Consider the following 19147-nt stretch of genomic DNA (forward strand, 5'->3'; position numbering starts at 1 on the left):
CTGTAGGGTTCCAGACAATGGAAATATATCCAGGTCACATCTCCATGACCATTTTATTTTCTTTTTTAGTTTTGTTTTTTCGTTTTTTTGTTTTTTTTTTCTACGGTGGGGGGGACGGAGTCTCGCTCTGTCACCCAGGCTGGAGTGCTGTGGCGTGATCTCGGCTCACTGCAACCTCTGCCTCCCAGGTTCAAGCAATTCTGCCTCAGCCTCCCGAGCAGCTGGGGCTACAGGCGTGTGCCACCACGCCCAGCTAATTTTTTGTATTTTTAGTAGAGACGGGGTTTCACCGTGTTGGCCAGGATGGTCTCGATCTCCTGACCTCGTGATCCGCCCGCCTCGGCCTCCCAAAGTGCTAGGATTACAGGCGTGAGCCATTTGATATTTATTAATATTAAAGTATTCAAGGGATACTGTATATATCAAAAGGTCTACACTGGACCACATTCCAGTTTCTTTGTGAAACAGTGAATACTCACCTGACAACAGTTTTTGCACATTAAAAATACCAAATTATCTACAATGGTATAAGTTCCCCCAGCTTTCACAACTTCATGATTTTACTGCACACATCAAACTGTTATAATTACTAACTGATAGGCCAGGCATGGTGGCTCACACCTGTAATCCCGGCACTTTGGGAGGCCGAGGCAGACGGATCACCTGAGGTTGGGAGTTTGCGACCAGCCTGACCAACGTGGAGAAATCCCATCTCTACTAAAAATACAAATTTCGCCGGGCATAGTGGCACATGCCTGTAATTCCAGCTACTCGGGAGGCTAAGGCAGGAGAATCGCTTAAACCCAGGAGGCGGAAGTTGTGGTGAGCCAAGATTGCGCCATTGCACTCCAGCCTGGGCAAAAAGAGTGAAACTCAGTCTCCCAAAAAAAAAAAAAAAATTACTAACTGATAAACAGGAGTCCATATTAGATGTTTGAAATTCCTATGTTTTGTGCTCAAGGAAAAATGGCATTTCTAAATTATAAAGGAAGAATATGTTAACAAAACATTGAGACTGTTTTATCCCTCTTCCCCATAATAAAATATAAACTGGACATAAGATCACTGTATTTTCTCTGACATTGATTTTTGTGTTAAGATGAATGCAACTTATAGCCCCAGTAAATAAGAATCTTAAATTTGTATATTTAAGCTCAAACTTCTATTTCATTATCAGTGTTCTTTACACTTGTCTTTGATCAACAGAACATGAATTTTAAACTATGACTACAGATAAAAACAATTTCAAAATGGATAATGCTAGAAACTTACCATAAGGATACCCAAATGCTCGCCAAGAATAAAGATAAACATACACACAAAAATATATATCCTGCAGCACTGTTAAGTAGTAAGAACAAAAGAGAAACCAACTCAAGAATCCATCAAGAGAGGACCAGTTAAATTGTGGTAAATCCACAGAATAGAATTCTATGCAGCTACTAAAAAGAATGAGATATCTGTACATGCTGATATGAGAAGCTCTCTGAGATATCCAGGATATTTTAATAAATAAAAAGTAAGATTTTTGCTTTTCTTTCCTTTTTTTTTTTTTTTTGAGACAATGTCCCGCTCTGTCACCCAGGCTGGAGTGCAGTGGCACTATCTCGGCTCACTGCAAGCTCCTCCTCCCGGGTTCACGCCATTCTCCTGCCCCAGCCTCCCAAGTAGCTGGGACTACAGGTGCCCGCCATCATGCCCGACTAATTTTTTGTATTTTTAGTAGAGACGGGGTTTCACCGTGTTAGCCAGAATGATCTCAATCTCCTGACCTCATGATCCACCTGCCTGAGCCTCCCAAAGTGCTGGGATTACAGGTGTGAGCCACCATGCCTGGCACCAGGTCTTTTTAACAGACAGTCTTGCTCTATCACCCAGGCTGGAGTACAGTGGCAAGATCACACAATCTTAGCGCACTGAAGCCTCAAATTCCTGCACTCAAGCCTCAGCTTCCCGAGTAGCTAGGACTACAGGCACATGCCACCACACCCAGCTAATTTATTTTTTGTAGAGATGGAGGTCTTGCTACACTTCCCAGGCTAGTCTCAAACTCCTGTCCTCAGGTGATCCTCCTGCCTCGGTCTCCCAAAGCACTGGGATTACAGGTGTGAGCCACAGTGCCTGGCCCTCTTACCAGATTGTTTTTGTTTTGTTCTATTTTTCTGTTTGTTTTTTTAATGACAGTTTATATGGTCAAAGGAAACATGGACCTTTCTATATATTTGTCTTTCAACTTCTCTATATTGCTCAATATTACATATTAAATTATATTCCTTTAAATATTTCTCATCCTTTAATAATGAGGATGCTAATTAATCAATTAACTGAAAAAATCAGTGATAATGGAAAAGAATCAAGCATTTAATTTTGCCTCTCCTACACTGTACAACTAGGTAACCAAAGACTAGATAAAAGAAAATTTTCTCTTTATAGTAGTACAAGTAACAAATCAAAAAGAAATTTTCTAATTATCAGTTATAACATTTTATAATTATAATGATAAAGGTATCATTCTGCAACTGCCATGAATGGATATTGGCATTGATCAATGGCAGCCAGCATGACAAAAAGAGAAACAACCAGACATTTTATGCCTTCTGCTTAGGTTCCTGATAGAAATCTACACCACTCTCCTGTGAAATTTTCGGGGATTTAGGGGGACCTGAATCTGATCAAGCTTCTCTAAAGCCAACTACCAATTTATAGGAAAGTGAGAAGCAAAAAGATTCTGCAGGGATGTAATCGGCAAAATCCAGAAAGTGGGAATTTTTAGGATAAACAACCACTTTGTGCAACAAAGAGTTTGCAAGGACGGGGGGAGGGTTAAAGACCTGAAAGAAAAACCTATAGATCAGGGTTTCTCAACAACAACACTATGGAGATTTTAGACTAGATCATTCTTTCTTGTGGGGGCTAACCAGTGCAGAATGTTTAGTAGCATCCCTGCCCTCTACCTACTAGCTGCTAGTAGCAACCACTCTGCCACTCCCAAATCAAAAATGTCTCTAGACATTGACTGGTGTTCCCTGGGAGACAAAAATCTCATCTAGTTGAGAACCACTGCTATGTATTAAGAAACTTACAAGATGTAGCAACTAATCACATGTGTGAACCTTATTTAGATCTTGATTCAAACAAATAGTGAAAAAAATTATGACATTTTTGAGACAACTAGAAATTTGGACAGTAGATATTAATGTTATTAAGAAACTGTTAACTATTTTTAATTATAATAAAGGTATTACAGGTTTTTAAAATTGAGGCCTTATCTTTTAGATTTACATGCTGAAATACTCACAGATATAATGATATGGTATCAGGAATTTGCTTCAAAGTAGCCAGGTAAGGGTGTAGTAATGAAACTGGCAGTGAATTGATACTCACTGAAGCAGGCTTATTGAACCTGGAAGCACAGGATACTATTCGGTCTACTTCTGCATATGTCTGGTATCTTCTCTTTAAGAAAAATTAAAAGTCAAGAAGACCATGGTGCCTGGCAACATTCGGTTGAATGATAATCAGGTGACTGATTTCCACCAACAATGCCATGTATGCTTGCTCATATACCCTCAGAAGTCCTCAAACTAATCGATTTTGAAAGGAAAATACTCACCATCTTTTTAAAAGACAAATTAAAATAAGTGAACCTCAGGATACTTTATATCCCTGGGGTTCACAAAACACAGGTTAGAAAATGCTGCTTTGGGGAAATGCCTGGATCATTAATGCTCTAGAGACTCCTATTATATACATTTACCTGCTCAGTGTTTGTTATTCTATGTCACTCATATTTGCTGATTTTCTTTTATTCTAAAAACTACCAGAGCCAGTGGTGTTTTTTAAAAATTTAGAAACAATATTTTAAAATTTAGCTACAAAGCATCCTTAAGATACAACTTAATTATCCAATAGTAAACCAAGTAGTTAGGGCTATTTTCCCACCAGGTTGTTCTTCACAGTAGCTAATGATAAGCTACACTTAAAAGTATGTTACAGTAGTCCCCTCCTTATTTGTGGTTTCACTTTCTAAGGTTTCAGGTACCAGTGGTCAGCCAAGGTCCAAAAATATTAAATGAAATATTCCAGAAACAGACAATTCTTAAGTTTTAAACTGCCTGCCGTCCTGAGCATCATGATGAAATCTTGCACCATCCCATCTAGGATGTGAATCATCCCTCTGTTAGTGTATCCAGACTGTTTTACTACCTGCCCACAAGTCTCTGAGTTATGAGATCAACTGTCGGGGTATCAATGCTTGTGTTCAGCTAACCGTTATTTTACTTAATAATGCCCCCAAAGCACAAGAGCAGTGAGGCTGGTGTGATGCTGGCAATGCAGATATGCCAAAGAGAAACCATAAAGTGCTTCCTTTAAGTGAAAAGTAAGGAAAGAAAAAAAAACAGTATGTTGAGTTCCTAAGCTCTATGGTAAGAACAATTCTATCTATAAAATTGTGAAGGAGGCAAAAGAAATTCATGCTAGTTTTGCTGCTGCACCTTAAACTGCAAAAGTTACAGCCACACTGTATACCTTTTACTACGGTACACTGTTGTAATGTTCTATTTTATTCAGTTACTGTTGTTAATCTCTTACTGTGTGCCTCATTAATAAGTTAAACTTTGTCATGGGTATGTATATATAGGCAAAAACATGGTATACTCAGAGTTCAGTACTATCCGTAGTTGCCGGCATCCACTGGGGGTCTTGGAACACATATCTCCCTCAGATAAGCGGGGACACACTACTGTATATGCATATTAATAGATCTAAGGAAGAAAACTATACGATTCTCTCCACAGATGCTGAAGGAGCCTTTGATAAAACTCAACATCCATTCATGATAAAACTACGTACATAAAATTGAGGAATACTTTTTTTTCCTTTTTTTTTTTTTTTTTTTTTTGAGGCAGGGTCTCACTGTGTCACCCAGGCTGGAGTGCACTGGTGGGATCATGGCTCACTGCAGCTTCAACCTCCCAAGCTCAAGCAATCCTCCCGCCTCAGCCTTCCAAGTAGCTGGGAATACAGGCACTCCCCACAATGCCCAGCTAATTTTTGTATTTTTTGTAGACGGAGGCTCGTCATGTTGCCCAGGCTAGTCTCAAACTCCTGGACTCACGCCATCCACCCACCTTGGCCTCCCAAAGTGCTGGGATTATAGGCATAAGCCACTGCACCTGGAGGAATACTGTCTTAATACGACAAATTAGTACTAAAGCTAGTATCTTCCTTAATGAGGAAATATTAGAGGCATTTCTACTAAAATCAGGAACAAAGCAAGCATACCCACGATCTACCACTATTCAACTCTATACGAGAGGTATAAGCCTGTGCAATTATATAAGTGAAATCAAATAGAGGCATAAGAATGGGCAAAGAAGTACTAAAACTCTCTATTTGTATATTACATATCAGTTCCCTAAGTGATAATACAACTCAAATAATTTTTTTCAGCAAAGTAGTAGAATATAAAAGTAACATTTAAAAAACAAACAATAACCAACAGCAAACAATAACCAACAGCAAACAAATGGTAAAGAAAATCTCATTTATAATACTAACAAAGAAAATTACTTAGGAATAATCTTAAAAATGTGTAAAATCTATACAAAGAAAAATTAAAAACACACCTGAAAGACACAAAAGTAGATATAAATAAAATAAATAAAAGAGGTAATACTATTCTCAGAGAGAAGGACTCAATATTATTAACATATCAGCTCTCATAAGTTTAATGTAACCCTAATAAAAATCCCAACAATGCTTTTGAATAAAATTAGACAGGTTGATACTAAAGTTCATATTAAAAAATAAATCTGCAAGAATAACCAGAAACACACTGAAAACAAATACAACAAACTAAGAGGATGGGACAGGCCTTACCAGACTTACACCATACTACAAAAGCCTCTGTAATTAAAACACTGTGGTGCTGAAACATCAAGGGACAAATCAACCAGTGGAATAAAACAGAAAGTGCTGAAACAGACCCAAGTATATACAGAATCTTTGACATATGACTATTATATATAAATATGTTTTGGCATCTGAAGTCACTGGGACAAATGGACATTTCAATAAATAGTACTGGGACAACTGGACAATTTCTTTTTATTTAGAAAAAATTCTATTTATATTTCATATTATATACAAAAATAAAATCCAAATGGATTAGTGATCCATTTAGAAGCTTAAAAAATAAAACCACACAAGTATTAGAAAAAAACACAGGAAAAAATTCTCTTTACCTTGAGGTAGAGAAAGGATTGTTAATTATGACTCAAAATCCAGAACCAATAAAAGACTAATAAATATGACTACATATTTCTTAAAAAAAATTTTGCATGGCAAAAAAATTACCATAAACAAAACCAAAAGACAACTGAAAGCTGGAAGAGAATACTTAGAACATTTACCACAAACAGCTAGTACCCCTAATATGTAAAAAGTCCTTAAATATTGAGGGACAAAGGACTAAAAGCTTGATAGAATCAGAAAAAAAAATGTAACCAGATGATTCTTGAAAGAATATGGTCCTAAAACTAAGAAAAAACAAATGTTCAAACTCATTTATAATTAGACAAATGCAGATTAAAACATAGATACCATTTTCCATCTACTGGATTGACAAAGATTAAAAACATGACAACACATCCTGATGACAAGGATCTAGAGAAAAAGGCACTCTCACACTGTTGGTGGGAATGCAAACTGGTCCAACCATTCTAGAGAGAAATCTAGCAATCCTAATAAAACAACATATACATTTATCTTTTAACTAAGCAATCCCACTTTTAGCAATCTAACCTGAAGCTGTATCTCAATACAAGGTCGGGCGTGGTGGCTCATACCTGTAATCCCAGCACTTTGGAAGGCCAAGGTGGGCAGATCACCTGAGGTCAGGAGTTCAAGACCAGCCTGACCAACATGGTGAAACTCTGTTTCTACAAAAAAAATACAAAAATTAGCCGGGCACAGTGGCACATGCCTATAATCCCAGCTACTCAGGAGGCTGAGATGGAAGGATCACCTGAGCCTGAGAGGTCGAGGCTGCAGTGAGCCAAGATCGCACCACTGCACTCCAGCCTGGGCAACAGAGCAAGACTCTATCTCAAAAAAAAAAAAAAACTGGATGTAGGAGGCATCAAAATGTAATACAAGCAGTAACAAATGAACCTGTCAGTAAATGACATACATTAAAGTCAGGTGAAAAGAATTGACCTAAGTAACTTTGGAAAACAATATTCTGATTAGATACTCTAAGGCCAAAGGCAAAAAAGAAGTACTATATACACAAATACTGTAATCTAGCTAGCAAATTTGTTTCTCACAAAAATATAGGTTAGCAAATTCTTGGACTACTTTACAGGATTGAACAAATATGTTGTAGATAATGACAGCTAGGTTTCTCACTGTTGTACAAAAAAAGTTACAAGTAAGGAAAGGGGAAAGCTAAAATGAATCCTGTGGTGTTATATTAGAATCAAAGATATCATTATGAAACTTACAGTTCGTAATATATACAGACAGAAACAAAGACAAATGTGTGTGCATGTGTGCAATTAGTGTATTTCCTAGCTCTGTCCTCTGAGAAGGCCTAGAAACAATGAGCCCACTAATACCAGACCTTGGTTTCTAACACTATTCTCCAATAAAAAGGAAACAGGGCTCACACATATAGACACGAAAATCATACAAGTTACCATTAACTCAACCTACAGTTAATGGGAAAAATAACCTTTTCATTAATGGAAAAAATAAATAATCACTACAGTAATAAAATGTAATTTTCAAAAAAGACCAGAAACTTGGTGGTAGTTGTTAAGATTAGCACTGGCTGTTCAAAGGCTGCACAAATTATCTCAAAATTTAAATTGCTCAAATCAACCAATGCTCACTTTTATAACCAAATTCTTCTATACCTGTTCTATTCTTACTCATAAGCCTCCACTTCAAATCTTCAAAAATAAAAGCATTCCTCCCCTTGGATGATCAGAAAACTCGATTTCATACCGAAAAATACAGAACAGGAGAGCATTCCAAGCAGAAATATACCCCAAACTAATGGGGTTTTTTTGTTTTGTTTTTTAAGACAAAGTCTCGCTCTGTCGCCCACCGTGGAGTGCAGTGGCGTGATCTCGGCTCACTGCAACCTCCGCCTCCCGGTTTCAAGCCATTCTCCTGCCTCAGCCTCCCGGATAGCTGGGATTACAGGTGCACACCACTATGCCCAGCTAATTTTTGTATTTTTAGTAGAGATAGGGTTTCACCATGTTGGTCAGGCTGGTGTCGAACTTCTGACCTTGTGATCCGCCCGCCTCAGCCTCCCAAAGTGCTGGGATTAGCGTGAGCCACTGTGTCCAACCTAACTAATGGTTTTTAAAAAGCTTATGAGAGAACTATGTCCCATGCCTCCAAGTAGCCTGAGATAAGCCTCCCATAATCACAACATATTTTGTTCAAACAGCAAAATTGTGTATAAATTATAAAACTCTTATAAGTGAAACACACAAATACTCATTATTCTATAATAAACGGTCATATCAAAACAATGAAATTGAGAAGTTCAATAAATGAGCTTTTTGTTTTCTTATAGGAAGATACTTATTCACCTAATAAGTTTATGACACCAATCATGAAGGTGAAATGTATATTAAACAAATTTGTAAAATATTTCCTATCCCTAACCAATTTTAAGAAGTCAAAATACACTCTAATAAAAAAAATCCATTTATATAACAAGGATGAAAGCGGAGTTAAATTATAAAACTTTTCAAATAAATATTTTATACATAATGTGTCCCCAAGGCAGTTATAATATTTTACATATTTACATTAAAGAAAATAATTTTGATTTAAAAAAAGGAAGATGTTTACAGGCATGTCTCTTCAGAACCCTGCCTCAACTGTCTCACCTATGCACCCCTGAGATAGAGACAGACAAGTCACATCTAATCCTCCTCCTGAAGCTGGCTGCAGCCAAGGAGGAAGAGGAGACTCAGTACCATCTACCCCCTTGACAGCATGAGCACCGGAGTCAGCCTGCCTGAGCTCAGATGCTAGCTCTCTCACCTTCCAGCCTTTCCATCTTGGGAAAGTTACTGAACTCCCTAACTCTCAGATTCCTCATGTGTAAAATGGGGATGATAATAATAGCAATTACTCAACAAGGTGACTGTGAGACTTCAATGAGTTAACCAAACATCTAATTAATTAGAACAGTGCCTAGCACTTTGTAAAACATTCGATAAGTGAGATTCGATATTTATCTCTCTTTCCCTTCGAGAATGTAAGTCACAAGACAGCAAGGACTTTGTTTTGTTCATTGCTGTATTTCTAGCACAAATACACTATATTCCTAGCACCTGGTACACTACAAACTCTTGGCCAAAGTCAACATCATACTCAATGACAAAACACAAGAGGCAATCTCATTCAAGACAGAAACAACAAATTTTAAAATACTGTGTCAGTTAACAAATTGGCAAATTTTTAGGGTGCATGGCACATCTGTAATCCCAGCTACTTGAGAGGCTGAAACAGGAGGATTGCTTGCACTCAGGAGTTCAAGATCAGCCTGGGTTGGTAATGTACTGAGACCCCCATCCCCCAACAACAACAACAACAACAACAACAACAAAAGACTTCAGTGCACATGCAGCTCAGTAAATCTTTACATCTGTACACATTCATACAACCACCACCCAAGATCAAGATAAAGAATATGGCCGGGCGTGGTGGCTCATACCTATTACAGGCACTTTGGGAGGCCAAGGTGGGTGGGTCACGAGGTCAGGAGATCGAGACCATCCTGGCTAACACGGTGAAACCCCATCTCTACTAAAAATACAAAAAAAAAAAAAAATTAGCTGGGCATGGTGGCAAGTGCCTGTAATCCCAGCTACTCAGGAGGCTGAGGCAGGAGAATCATTTGAACCTGGGAGACAGAGGTTGCAGTGAGCCGAGATTGCGCCACTGCACTCTAGCCTGGAGACAGAGCAAGATTCGGTCTCAAAAATATATATTTATATTTATATTTATATACATATTTTATATATATTTATAAATATATATTTATTTATATATTTATAAATATATATTTATTTTTATATATTTATATATATATATTTTTATATAGTTGTATTTATATATTTATATTTTTACATATTTATAAATATATATTTATTTTATATATATTTATATTTATATGTCCTGAATCTCAGAAACTCCCTCTCAGTCAATTCCCACCCAAAAGGTAAACCCTATTCTGACTCCTAGCCCCACTTATGCCTGTACTTGAACTTCACATAAACAGAGCCAAACAGTATGCTCTTTTGTACTGGGCTTCTGTGTTCAACTTTATTATGTGTGAGATCCATTCATGTTGTGTGCATCCATAGTGTATTCTTTTTTACAGCTTGGTATTCCATTTTATGACTATACTATAATATATCCAATCTACTGTTGATGACATTTAGGTTGTTACAGTTTGGGGACAACATGAAAAATGCTGCCATGAACAGGCTTGGGTATGTCTTTTGGTGGTAATACTGACTTATCTACAGATTAACAGTTTTTGTTTGTTTTGGTAGGGGCTGGTTAATAATACCTTAGATTGGGAGGATGCAGGGAACTAAAAGTGGACACTGTAGGTGAAAGTAGAAATCGGCATAACCTTTCTGGAGGACAGTTTGGCAATAGGCACAAGAAGCCTACAAGCATCTATACCCTTTGACCAATAACACTAGTTCAAGGAAATTTCTTATTGAGAAATTGTACATGCCAGGTCTTCTTCTAAGTGTTTTATATGTATTAACTCATTTTATTTATTCTAAGGAAATAATTAAATAACCACAATAATTTGTTTAGTATGTCAATCATACCATCATTAGTAAACATAAGAAAAAGTAGTAAACAGGTCAGGCGCGGTGGCTCACACCTGTAATCCCAGCACTTTGGGAGGCTGAGGAGGGTGGATCACGAGGTCAGGAGATCGAGACCATCCTGGCTAACACAGTGAAACCCCATCTCTACTAAAAATACAAAAAATTAGCTGGGCGCGGTGGCGGGTGCCTGTAGTCCCAGCTACTCTGGAGGCTGAGGCAGGAGAATGGCGAGAACCCAGGAGGCGGAGCTTGCAGGGAGCTGAGATTGCGCCACTGCACTCCAGCCTGGGCGACAGAGCGAAACTCCGTCTCAAAAAAAAAAAAGTAGTAAACAAAGTAAATAACAATAGGGTAATTATTTTCAAATATATTGTACTTCTGTGAAATTAAACACAATGTAGCCACTAAAAATGTTTTCAAAGAACATTAAAGATACAGGAAAAAGTATACATCAATGACAAAAGGTAACATGGAATGCATAGAAAGAATTCCAATTTTTTTAAAAAAGAATATACATATACACATACCACATTATTAATAAAATAGTGGTAATCACTGGAAGACATGCGTACTTTCATATTCTTTATACTTTTCTGTACTTTCCGATTTTTCCTTAATATATTGCTTTTATCAACTAAAAAATGCGATTAAAGACTAATAAACGGTGTTTACATTCTAACAGGAAGAAAACAGAAACTCTAATACAATTCAATTAGGGCAGTGAGGCAATTTTGCATATGACGATATAAAAGTATTACAGAAAGACATCTAGCCTGGAGATAAGGGAGCGGGGCCTTATCAGGAAAGACGTTTATAGTGGTACGTCCACCAAGAACTCAGGGAGAAAGAACTGTATCTCCAGGTTAGACAGAACATTCCCGGCAAAATCCTGTTAATTCCTCAACCCATTGCCCCTAGAGTTCAATTATACACTGTACCCTGCCTGGCAAGTGTTCTTTTCTCACTTGCAAAAAGGCTTAGGGAGATGGACAGATGGGAATTGGTATGCAGCTAAAGTTTGACAGCATCAGACCTGGAAGACGCTGGTTCCATCCACCCTGCAGCCTGACAGAAAAGCATCAAGGACAGGTCTTCCTTCCCTGTCACAAGAAATTAGGGCAACAACTTTTCAGATTTCCTTATGTCAGAAACGCCAGGCAGAATAAACTAAAATTTATATATATCAAAATGCACTGATTCCTCAGTTTAAAAAGTCCTTCTACTTAAAGAAATAAAGTTAACAAGAAATTACCCAGGCAATGGCAATTCTCTGTATCCAACCTCCTACTCCTCCTTGCTCCTCTACAGATGGACCACCTCTGGTCCAATGAAATCTAAGCATGGTAAAGATACATCTTAGTCCTTTAGGGGTCAATTCTCATGGAAGCAAATGATATTTGTTTAATAGTTAATATAAAGGAACATTTTGCTGTGTTCCGAAAAACGATCACTCATTTTATGGTACAGTAAACATCAGAGTAAATACCACGGGAAAAACATACAGAGTCCAAATTACCAATACTTAAGAATTAAACTTACTAGGCCGGGCAGGGTGGCTCACACCTGTAATCCCAGCACTTTGGGAGGCCGAGGTGGGCGGATAACCTGAGGTCAAGAGTTCGAAACCAGTGTAGCCAACATGGTGAAATCCCGTTCCTACTAAAAATACAAAAATTAGCCAGGCGTGGTGACGGGCACCTGTAATCCCAGCTACTCGGGAGGCTGAGGCAGAAGAATCACTTGAACCCGGGAGGCGGAGTTTGCAGTGAGCAGAGATGGCGCCACTGCACTCCAGCCTGGGTGACAGAGCGAGACTCCGTCTCCAAAAAAAAAAAAAAGAAAAAGAAAAAGAATTAAACTTAATAAAAAGATACTGCTTTTGTAGGGCAGGACAATATAGCTAAATTTTCTAACTTTTGACATCTGAACCACATAAGTTTCAAGGATTGATGGTCAAAAAGACCCTGGGCTCAAAAAAACCTATTTTAGACTCACTTCCACAGATATAAAGTTACACAAATTTATGTGTCAAAGCAGAGAGGGCATATTTGTTTTGGCCTTGCTCTCCCTCCTTCCCGTAAGCCCTCTGTATTTCCTATTTCCCTATTTACAAGTGTATACTTACATGTATTACAAAATTCTCCATCAAATACCTGGGGCTTTTCATGGTTATAGTGTTAAGTGACCTAAATTAAGATAAATACAATTCTAGTCTAAAATTTGGTAGCCTATCAAATCCGCATTGCATAATGAGACAAGTTTCTTTTTTCTTTTTTTTTGAGACGGAGTCTCACTCTGTCGCCAGGCTGGAGTGCAGTGGCGCGATCTCGGCTCACTGCAACCTCCGCTTCCCGGGTTCAAAAGATTCTCCTGCCTCAGCCTCCCAAGTAGCTAGGGTTACAGACATGCACCACCACGCCCAGCTAATTTTTGTATTTTTAGTAGAGACGGGGTTTCACCATGTTGGGGTTTCACCATGTTAGCCAGGATGGTCTCGATCTCTTTACCTCGTGATCCACCCGCCTCAGCCTCCCAAAGTGCTGGGATTACAGGCGTGAGCCACCAAGCCTGGCGAGACAAATTTTTATGCAGTTTAAACCGCCTCAAATTTCAAAAAATAGTTCTTTGAAAAAAAATAAGCATTTACATAATCACCAGGGATTCTGATTTTATTCTATATAGAACCTAAATGTTCGGATAATCTTTATTCTAGTTGCGTAGAATATGTTATGGAAACAGGATGTGGAAATAGAATTGGATATACAAGACTGCTAAAGATTATACGAAACGAGGACGCTGCCTTTCTTTTAAAGTGATAATTTACTGTGTCTTGTTTTCTGTTGTGAGAATCGGCTAGCCTGAAAACTGATTAAGTAAAACTGTACTTGAAAATTAAGTAAAACTTAACTACACCTAGCACTAAACACTGCAAAGAACATTGTGATTTACATGGTTTTCTCTCCCTGGACCAGTAGAGGGAGACTAAGACATCTGGCCTGGTCTTGTAGTGTTTCTGTAAAATTGGGGAGGGGGGGAGCGGAGGCTGTATTTAAATGTCCTGCTGTCAATCAAAAGACACTTCCTACAATCACAGTCACCATATCTGCTATTACTCGTGAGCGTGCTCTCGCCAAGAGACAACACCAAACGGGGCCCGGGAAACCGGCTTCAACTAAAGGTGACCGCAGGCTTTGCCACAACACCCAAATAAGGACTTTGGGAGCCCAACCCCAACTAGTTTCTTTGTTTAAATGCCTGTGAATCCCTCCCACGCCGGAGTCAAGAGGCTGTGGCGCCGCCCTTTATTAGCCTCACACTTTGATTACAAAACACACGAGTCGGCGGCCTGGCTGCGGAGGCGGCCCGAGCTCTCAAACGTCAAACCCGGAGCGCGGCGGCGGCTGAATCAGAGGGCAGCGTCCGCCGCCGCCGCCAGCCGGCCCCGCAGCGTCCGCCCGGCCGACTCAAGTTCGCCGGCACCGGCGCCCGGGCACAGCCGCAGGCGGTCCCGGTGTCGCCAGCTTCGAGCGATGGCAACTGCACTCTTTGTAAAGTTTAAGCCGCGGCGCGAGGGCAACGCAGGGGGTCCGGAGAAGCGTTCCCTTCGGGCCGCCGCAACCCACTCCATCTGCCCCAGTCCCGGCGACCCGGGTGTGTGCGGGGGCCCAGGACCGCGACCCGGGTCAACCTGCCGCCCGCCGGGGGCCCGGCCCCAACTTCCCCGGCACCTTTCAAGTCCCCGAGAGCGAGTGCCTCATCTGTTGCTCTGTTTACTCCGCGGAGCCCCGCCGAGCTGGCTGGCGCGGTCGCCTCTCCGGCCCGCCGCTGCCCCCGTCCCACTGGCCCAGGAAGTTTGATAAAGACGGGGAAGGGGGCGCGACAGGGACCCGCGGCGCGGAGGAGACGCGGGGCCGGGGCGACCCCATCGCCGCCCGGAAGGAAGGCAGGCGCGTCGGCCGGCCGGGCAGAGCGGCGGGGCGGCCGGCGACTCCGGCCGGAGCCCCGGGCGCGGCGGGGCGGGGCGGGGCGGCGGCGGCCCGGGCTGGCGAGGGGCTGCGGACCCGGCCGGCGCTCCGCCCGACGCCCCCGCCGCGCCCGCCCGGCCGCGTCCCCTCGCCCCAGGCTCCCCCTGCCAACTTATCCGCCGGCCCTCTTTGTTCGTGTTTGTTGTGGCGACTCTTCGCCCGGGCCAGGCGAGCCCACCGGCTCCCCTCTGGAGCCCGCCCGGCGAACCCGGGGCACCGCGCGCCCCACTGCCCGGCCGGGGGGCTAGGCACCGGGGCCCCCTGAAAGCTGGGCGCGGCGCGGCGGCCCGGCCCGAGGGAGGCGCGGGCGGCCGGCGGCGGCGGCGGTTGGTCGGTGGCCGGCGGTGGCGGCTGCGGGGCTGGAGGGGGTTTATTTACCTGCCGTGGAACCAGTCCTTGCAGATATCGCACTCGATCATGAAGCGGTTCACGTCGTACGGCTGCCGGCACACACAGTACACGGGCGGGGGCGGCGGAGGCGCCGAGGCCCGGCCGGGAGCCGCCACCGACACGGCTGCCGCGGCGGCTCCAGCTGCTGCTCCCGCGGCCACCGCCGCCGCCGCTCCGGCCATCTTTAAAAAACACACACACGCTCGCTCGCTACTCCGCTCGCCGACTGGAGCGAGCGCAGCCGCCAGCCAGCGCCGCCTCCTGCAGCAGCCGCGGCGGCGGCGGCGCCTCAGTGCGCGCGCGCGAGGCCGCGGCGGCTGGCGGAGGGGGAGGAGGCGCGCGCGACGCGCGAGGCCCAGACTCGGCTGCTTCCGGCGCTCGGCGCGGGGCCGTGCGTCTCGCGCACGTCTCTGGCGCCGGCGCGCGCTCCCCGCTCCTCTCCGCGACGGCCGGGCGGAGGGAGCTGTTGAAGGGCACGCAGGCGGCTGCGGGGGCGGAGGGAGCTGAGGCCCCGTGAGGACACGCGCGGTGGTGGCGGTGGCGGCGGGCGCGCGGCCGCAGCCGGAGGAGGACGGCGGGAGCGTGCGAGGAGCTGGCTCGGTTATTTCGGAGCGAGAGCCGAGGCCGGGGGAAGTTCCTGCGGAGTGCTCAAGGGCAGAAGAGGTGCCGCGTCCCGAAGAGGGGAAGCGGAGAAGTTTGCTGCTGCCCGGGTCGCCTCGCGACGCTGAGAGAATCGCCCAGCCCTCCGCAGCCGCCCAGCGAGAACCGGAGCTGCGGCCCCGCACCGGCGTGAGTCCAGCTGAGCTGACACGCCGAGCCGGTTGTGCCTTTCCGAGGGAGGAATGTGCCGTGGAATCCAAACTTTGGAAAACGTCCCACCCGAATTCCCAGCGAGCAGCAAGGAGACCAGAGCGTCGATGGAGCCACCGTTAGTTGCGGGAGGGCTGTCCCCAAGAGGAATTCATCACTGTCGTCCGCTGGGAGGGACCAACCTTGAAATGGGGTTGGTGGAGAGAGGGATAGAGAAGAGCCGGCGTGCTTATAAATAACAAAACTTAGCTATGAACCCTTCCGATTCCCAAGTGGGGAAGATGGGGTAAAATTCTAAGTGACTTCTCGCTCCGAAGAGGGATACCACAAAAAGCGGAGCGCAGGGTACTTGGCGTATAATAAGCCATCAATAATTTATGGGTGAAATTGAGAGCCAAATATAAGATGATAAACTGAAGAATAAAAACAGCTGACAAATACTGTATAGAAAAGATTGCGTTGGAATCATAACTGTGGATTGGAAGTGATGTTAAGGATTATTGGATTGAGTATTTGTAGCTGAATTTCTGCTGGCATTTCTATCAGTGGGGAAAGCCCTCACAGCTCCATAGGTAATTTTTGTTAGGGGAGGAAGAAGTGTTGTTCTGTCACCCACCCCCAGGCAAAGAGTCGCTGATCTAATTCTCCATTTCTTTCTTTCTTTCCTTTCTTTCCTTCCTTCCTTCCTTCCTTCCTTCCTTCCTTCCTTCCTTCCTTCCCTCCCTCCCTTTCCTTTCCTTTCCTTTCCTTTCTTTCCTTTCTTTCTTTGAAACGGAGTTTCGTTCTTGTTGCCCGCGCTGGAGTGCAGTGCAGTGCTGTGATCTCGGCTCATTGCAACTTCCACCTCCCGGGTTCGAGGGATCCTCCTGCCTCAGCCTCCCAAGTAGCTGGGATTACAGGCGCACGCCACCGCACCCGGGTAATTTTGTATTTTTAATAGAGACGGGGTTTCACCATGTTGGCCAGGCTGTTTGAACTCCTGACCTCAAGTGATCCGCCCGCCTCGGCCTCTCAAAGTGCTGGGATTACAGGCGTGAGCCACCAAGTCCTGCCTAATCTCCTTTTTATAGTTGAGGAAAGCTAGTAACTTGACTGAAGTCTCATATATTAGAGCTGTAACTGAAGTTTTTAAGTGTCTCAATTCTGCAACTATTCGTTTTTCTATCACATCACTGTTTGGCATATATATAGCGGGAAAAGGAAAGGCTGGAAATTAGTTGACCACACACTGATTAAGCTTGAAACATATTTCTACTGGAGAAAAAAAGGTACTGTAATTTTGGCATAGGCATCACATATTGCTGGAGTGGAAAGACCCATGCACTCAGGTCCTGCTTTCTATAATCTGTGACCTCGGGCCAGTCACTCCATTTCTCCTGAACTAGATCACTGATGATCTGTTGAAAGAAAAAATATGGCTAGTAATGCCTTAATTATCTCACAGAGGTTTTACATGGAGCAAAAAGACAATGTATTTTTAAATGTACTTTGTTGAAGGTGTGTGTTGTCGAGACAATACAGCAGTGAAGAGAAGGCATGCAAAGCTGTCTTGTTGGAGTCTGGCTAAAGAGCACCAAAGCAGCCTGTTGTGGGATGTCCTCTGGGGGCCACCTGGACTTGCTATGTTAACATGGAGGGACTAGGCAGGGGTATGAAGAAGGAAGCCCAGCAGAGCAGGAGGCAGCAGCAACAATGAGAGATTGGTTATCCATATGACTTGGATCTGTGTCCCCACCCAAATCTCATGTTGAATTGTAATCCCCAATGTTGGAGGTGGGGACTGGTGGGAGGTGACTGGATCATGGGGGTGGATTTCTTATGAATGGTTTAGTACCATCCACTTTGTATTGTCCCCGTGGTAATGAGTGAGTTCTTAAGAAATCTGGTCATTGAAAAATATGTGGCACCTCCTCCCTCTCTCTTTTGCTCCTGCCCCGGCTATATGATGCAATTTGTCTTCAGCCATGATTGTAAGTTTCCCGAGGCCTCCCCAGAAGCTGAGCAGATGCCAGCATCATGCTTCCTGTACAGCCTGCCTTCCATGAGCCAATTAAACTTCTTTCCTTTACAAATTACACAGTCTCAGATATTTTTCTCTTTTTTTTTTTTGAGATGAAGTCTGGGTCTGTCGCTCAGGCTGGAGTGCAGTGGTGCGATCTCAGCTCACTGCAACCTCCACCTCCCGGGTTCAAGCAATTCTTAGGCCTCAGCCTCCTGAGTAGCTGGGGTTACAGGTACCTGCCACCATGCCCGGCTAATTTTTGTAATTGTAGTACAGAAGGGTTTCACCATGTTACTCAGGCTGGTCTTGAACTCCTGACCTCAGGTGATCCACCTGCCTCAGCCTCCCAAAGTGCTGGGATTACAGTTGTATGCCTCAGATATTTATTTATTTATTTATTTATTTATTTATTTTTATTTATTTTTCTTTTTTTTTTTTTTTTTTTTTTGAGACACAGTCTCACTTTGTTGCCCAGGCTGGAGTATAGTGGCATGATCTTGGCTCACTGCAACCTCCGCCCTCTGGGTTCAAGGAATTCTTTTGCCTCAGCCTCCCAAGTATCTGGGATTACAGACGTGCACCACCACAGCCAGCAAATTTTTGCATTTTTAGTAGTGGCCAGGCTGGTCTCGATTTCCTGACCTCAGGTGATCCACCTGCCTCAGCCTCCCAAAGTGTTGAGATTACAGGTGTGAGCCACCGCACCCAGCCCAGATATTTCTTTATAGCAACGAAAGAACAAACTGATACAGTTGTGTACAAGAGAACTGATCAAACGCAGTCGTGTTGGCCAGACGTGGTGGCTCATGCCTGTAATCCCAGCACTTTGGGAGGCCCAGGCGGGTGGATCATGAAGTCAGGAGATTGAGACCATCCTGGCTAACATGGTGAAACCCTGTCCCTTCTAAAAATACAAAAAATTAGCTGGTTGTGGTGGCACGCACCTGTATTCCCAGCTACTCGGGAGGCTGAAGCAGGAGAATCGCTCAAACCCGGGAGGCAGAGATTGCAGTGAGCCAAGATCGCGCCACTGC

At 43.4% G+C, this 19147-nt stretch overlaps 1 protein-coding gene and 1 long non-coding RNA gene across 3 annotated transcripts in view, besides 5 other annotated features; one reads left to right on the top strand and one right to left on the bottom strand.

Moving 5' to 3' along the window:
- The window catches only part of KDM7A (lysine demethylase 7A), a 92238-nt gene extending 76709 nt beyond the window's left edge, over positions 1–15529 (bottom strand). For both annotated transcript variants that reach the window (NM_030647.2, XM_047420879.1), the window contains exon 1: positions 15290–15529. In NM_030647.2, coding sequence (NP_085150.1) covers positions 15290–15483 — 194 coding nt within the window. In that variant the 5' untranslated portion in view covers positions 15484–15529. The remainder of the gene's footprint in view (positions 1–15289) is intronic.
- Positions 14258–14537: a silencer, noted in NCBI's record as "silent region_18703". NCBI's record gives its function as "represses an Ori minimal core promoter by ATAC-STARR-seq in GM12878 lymphoblastoid cells {active_cell/tissue: GM12878}" and the evidence as "EXISTENCE:reporter gene assay evidence [ECO:0000049][PMID:35858748]".
- Positions 14548–14727: a silencer, noted in NCBI's record as "silent region_18704". NCBI's record gives its function as "represses an Ori minimal core promoter by ATAC-STARR-seq in GM12878 lymphoblastoid cells {active_cell/tissue: GM12878}" and the evidence as "EXISTENCE:reporter gene assay evidence [ECO:0000049][PMID:35858748]".
- Positions 15162–16085: an enhancer, noted in NCBI's record as "H3K27ac hESC enhancer chr7:139876416-139877339 (GRCh37/hg19 assembly coordinates)". NCBI's record gives its function as "activates a minimal SCP1, AML or CMV promoter by ChIP-STARR-seq in naive H9 embryonic stem cells {active_cell/tissue: H9 hESC(naive)}" and the evidence as "EXISTENCE:reporter gene assay evidence [ECO:0000049][PMID:30033119]".
- Positions 15368–15467: a silencer, noted in NCBI's record as "silent region_18705". NCBI's record gives its function as "represses an Ori minimal core promoter by ATAC-STARR-seq in GM12878 lymphoblastoid cells {active_cell/tissue: GM12878}" and the evidence as "EXISTENCE:reporter gene assay evidence [ECO:0000049][PMID:35858748]".
- Positions 15508–15937: a silencer, noted in NCBI's record as "silent region_18706". NCBI's record gives its function as "represses an Ori minimal core promoter by ATAC-STARR-seq in GM12878 lymphoblastoid cells {active_cell/tissue: GM12878}" and the evidence as "EXISTENCE:reporter gene assay evidence [ECO:0000049][PMID:35858748]".
- KDM7A-DT (KDM7A divergent transcript) lies at positions 15807–18186 on the top strand. The gene has a single exon (NR_024451.1). It is a non-coding gene; the product is annotated as a KDM7A divergent transcript (long non-coding RNA).
- Positions 18187–19147: the final 961 nt, after the last annotated feature.

This window comes from Homo sapiens, chromosome 7 (genome assembly GCF_000001405.40).
Source record: "Homo sapiens chromosome 7, GRCh38.p14 Primary Assembly".
NCBI classification, from domain to species: Eukaryota; Metazoa; Chordata; class Mammalia; order Primates; family Hominidae; genus Homo; species Homo sapiens.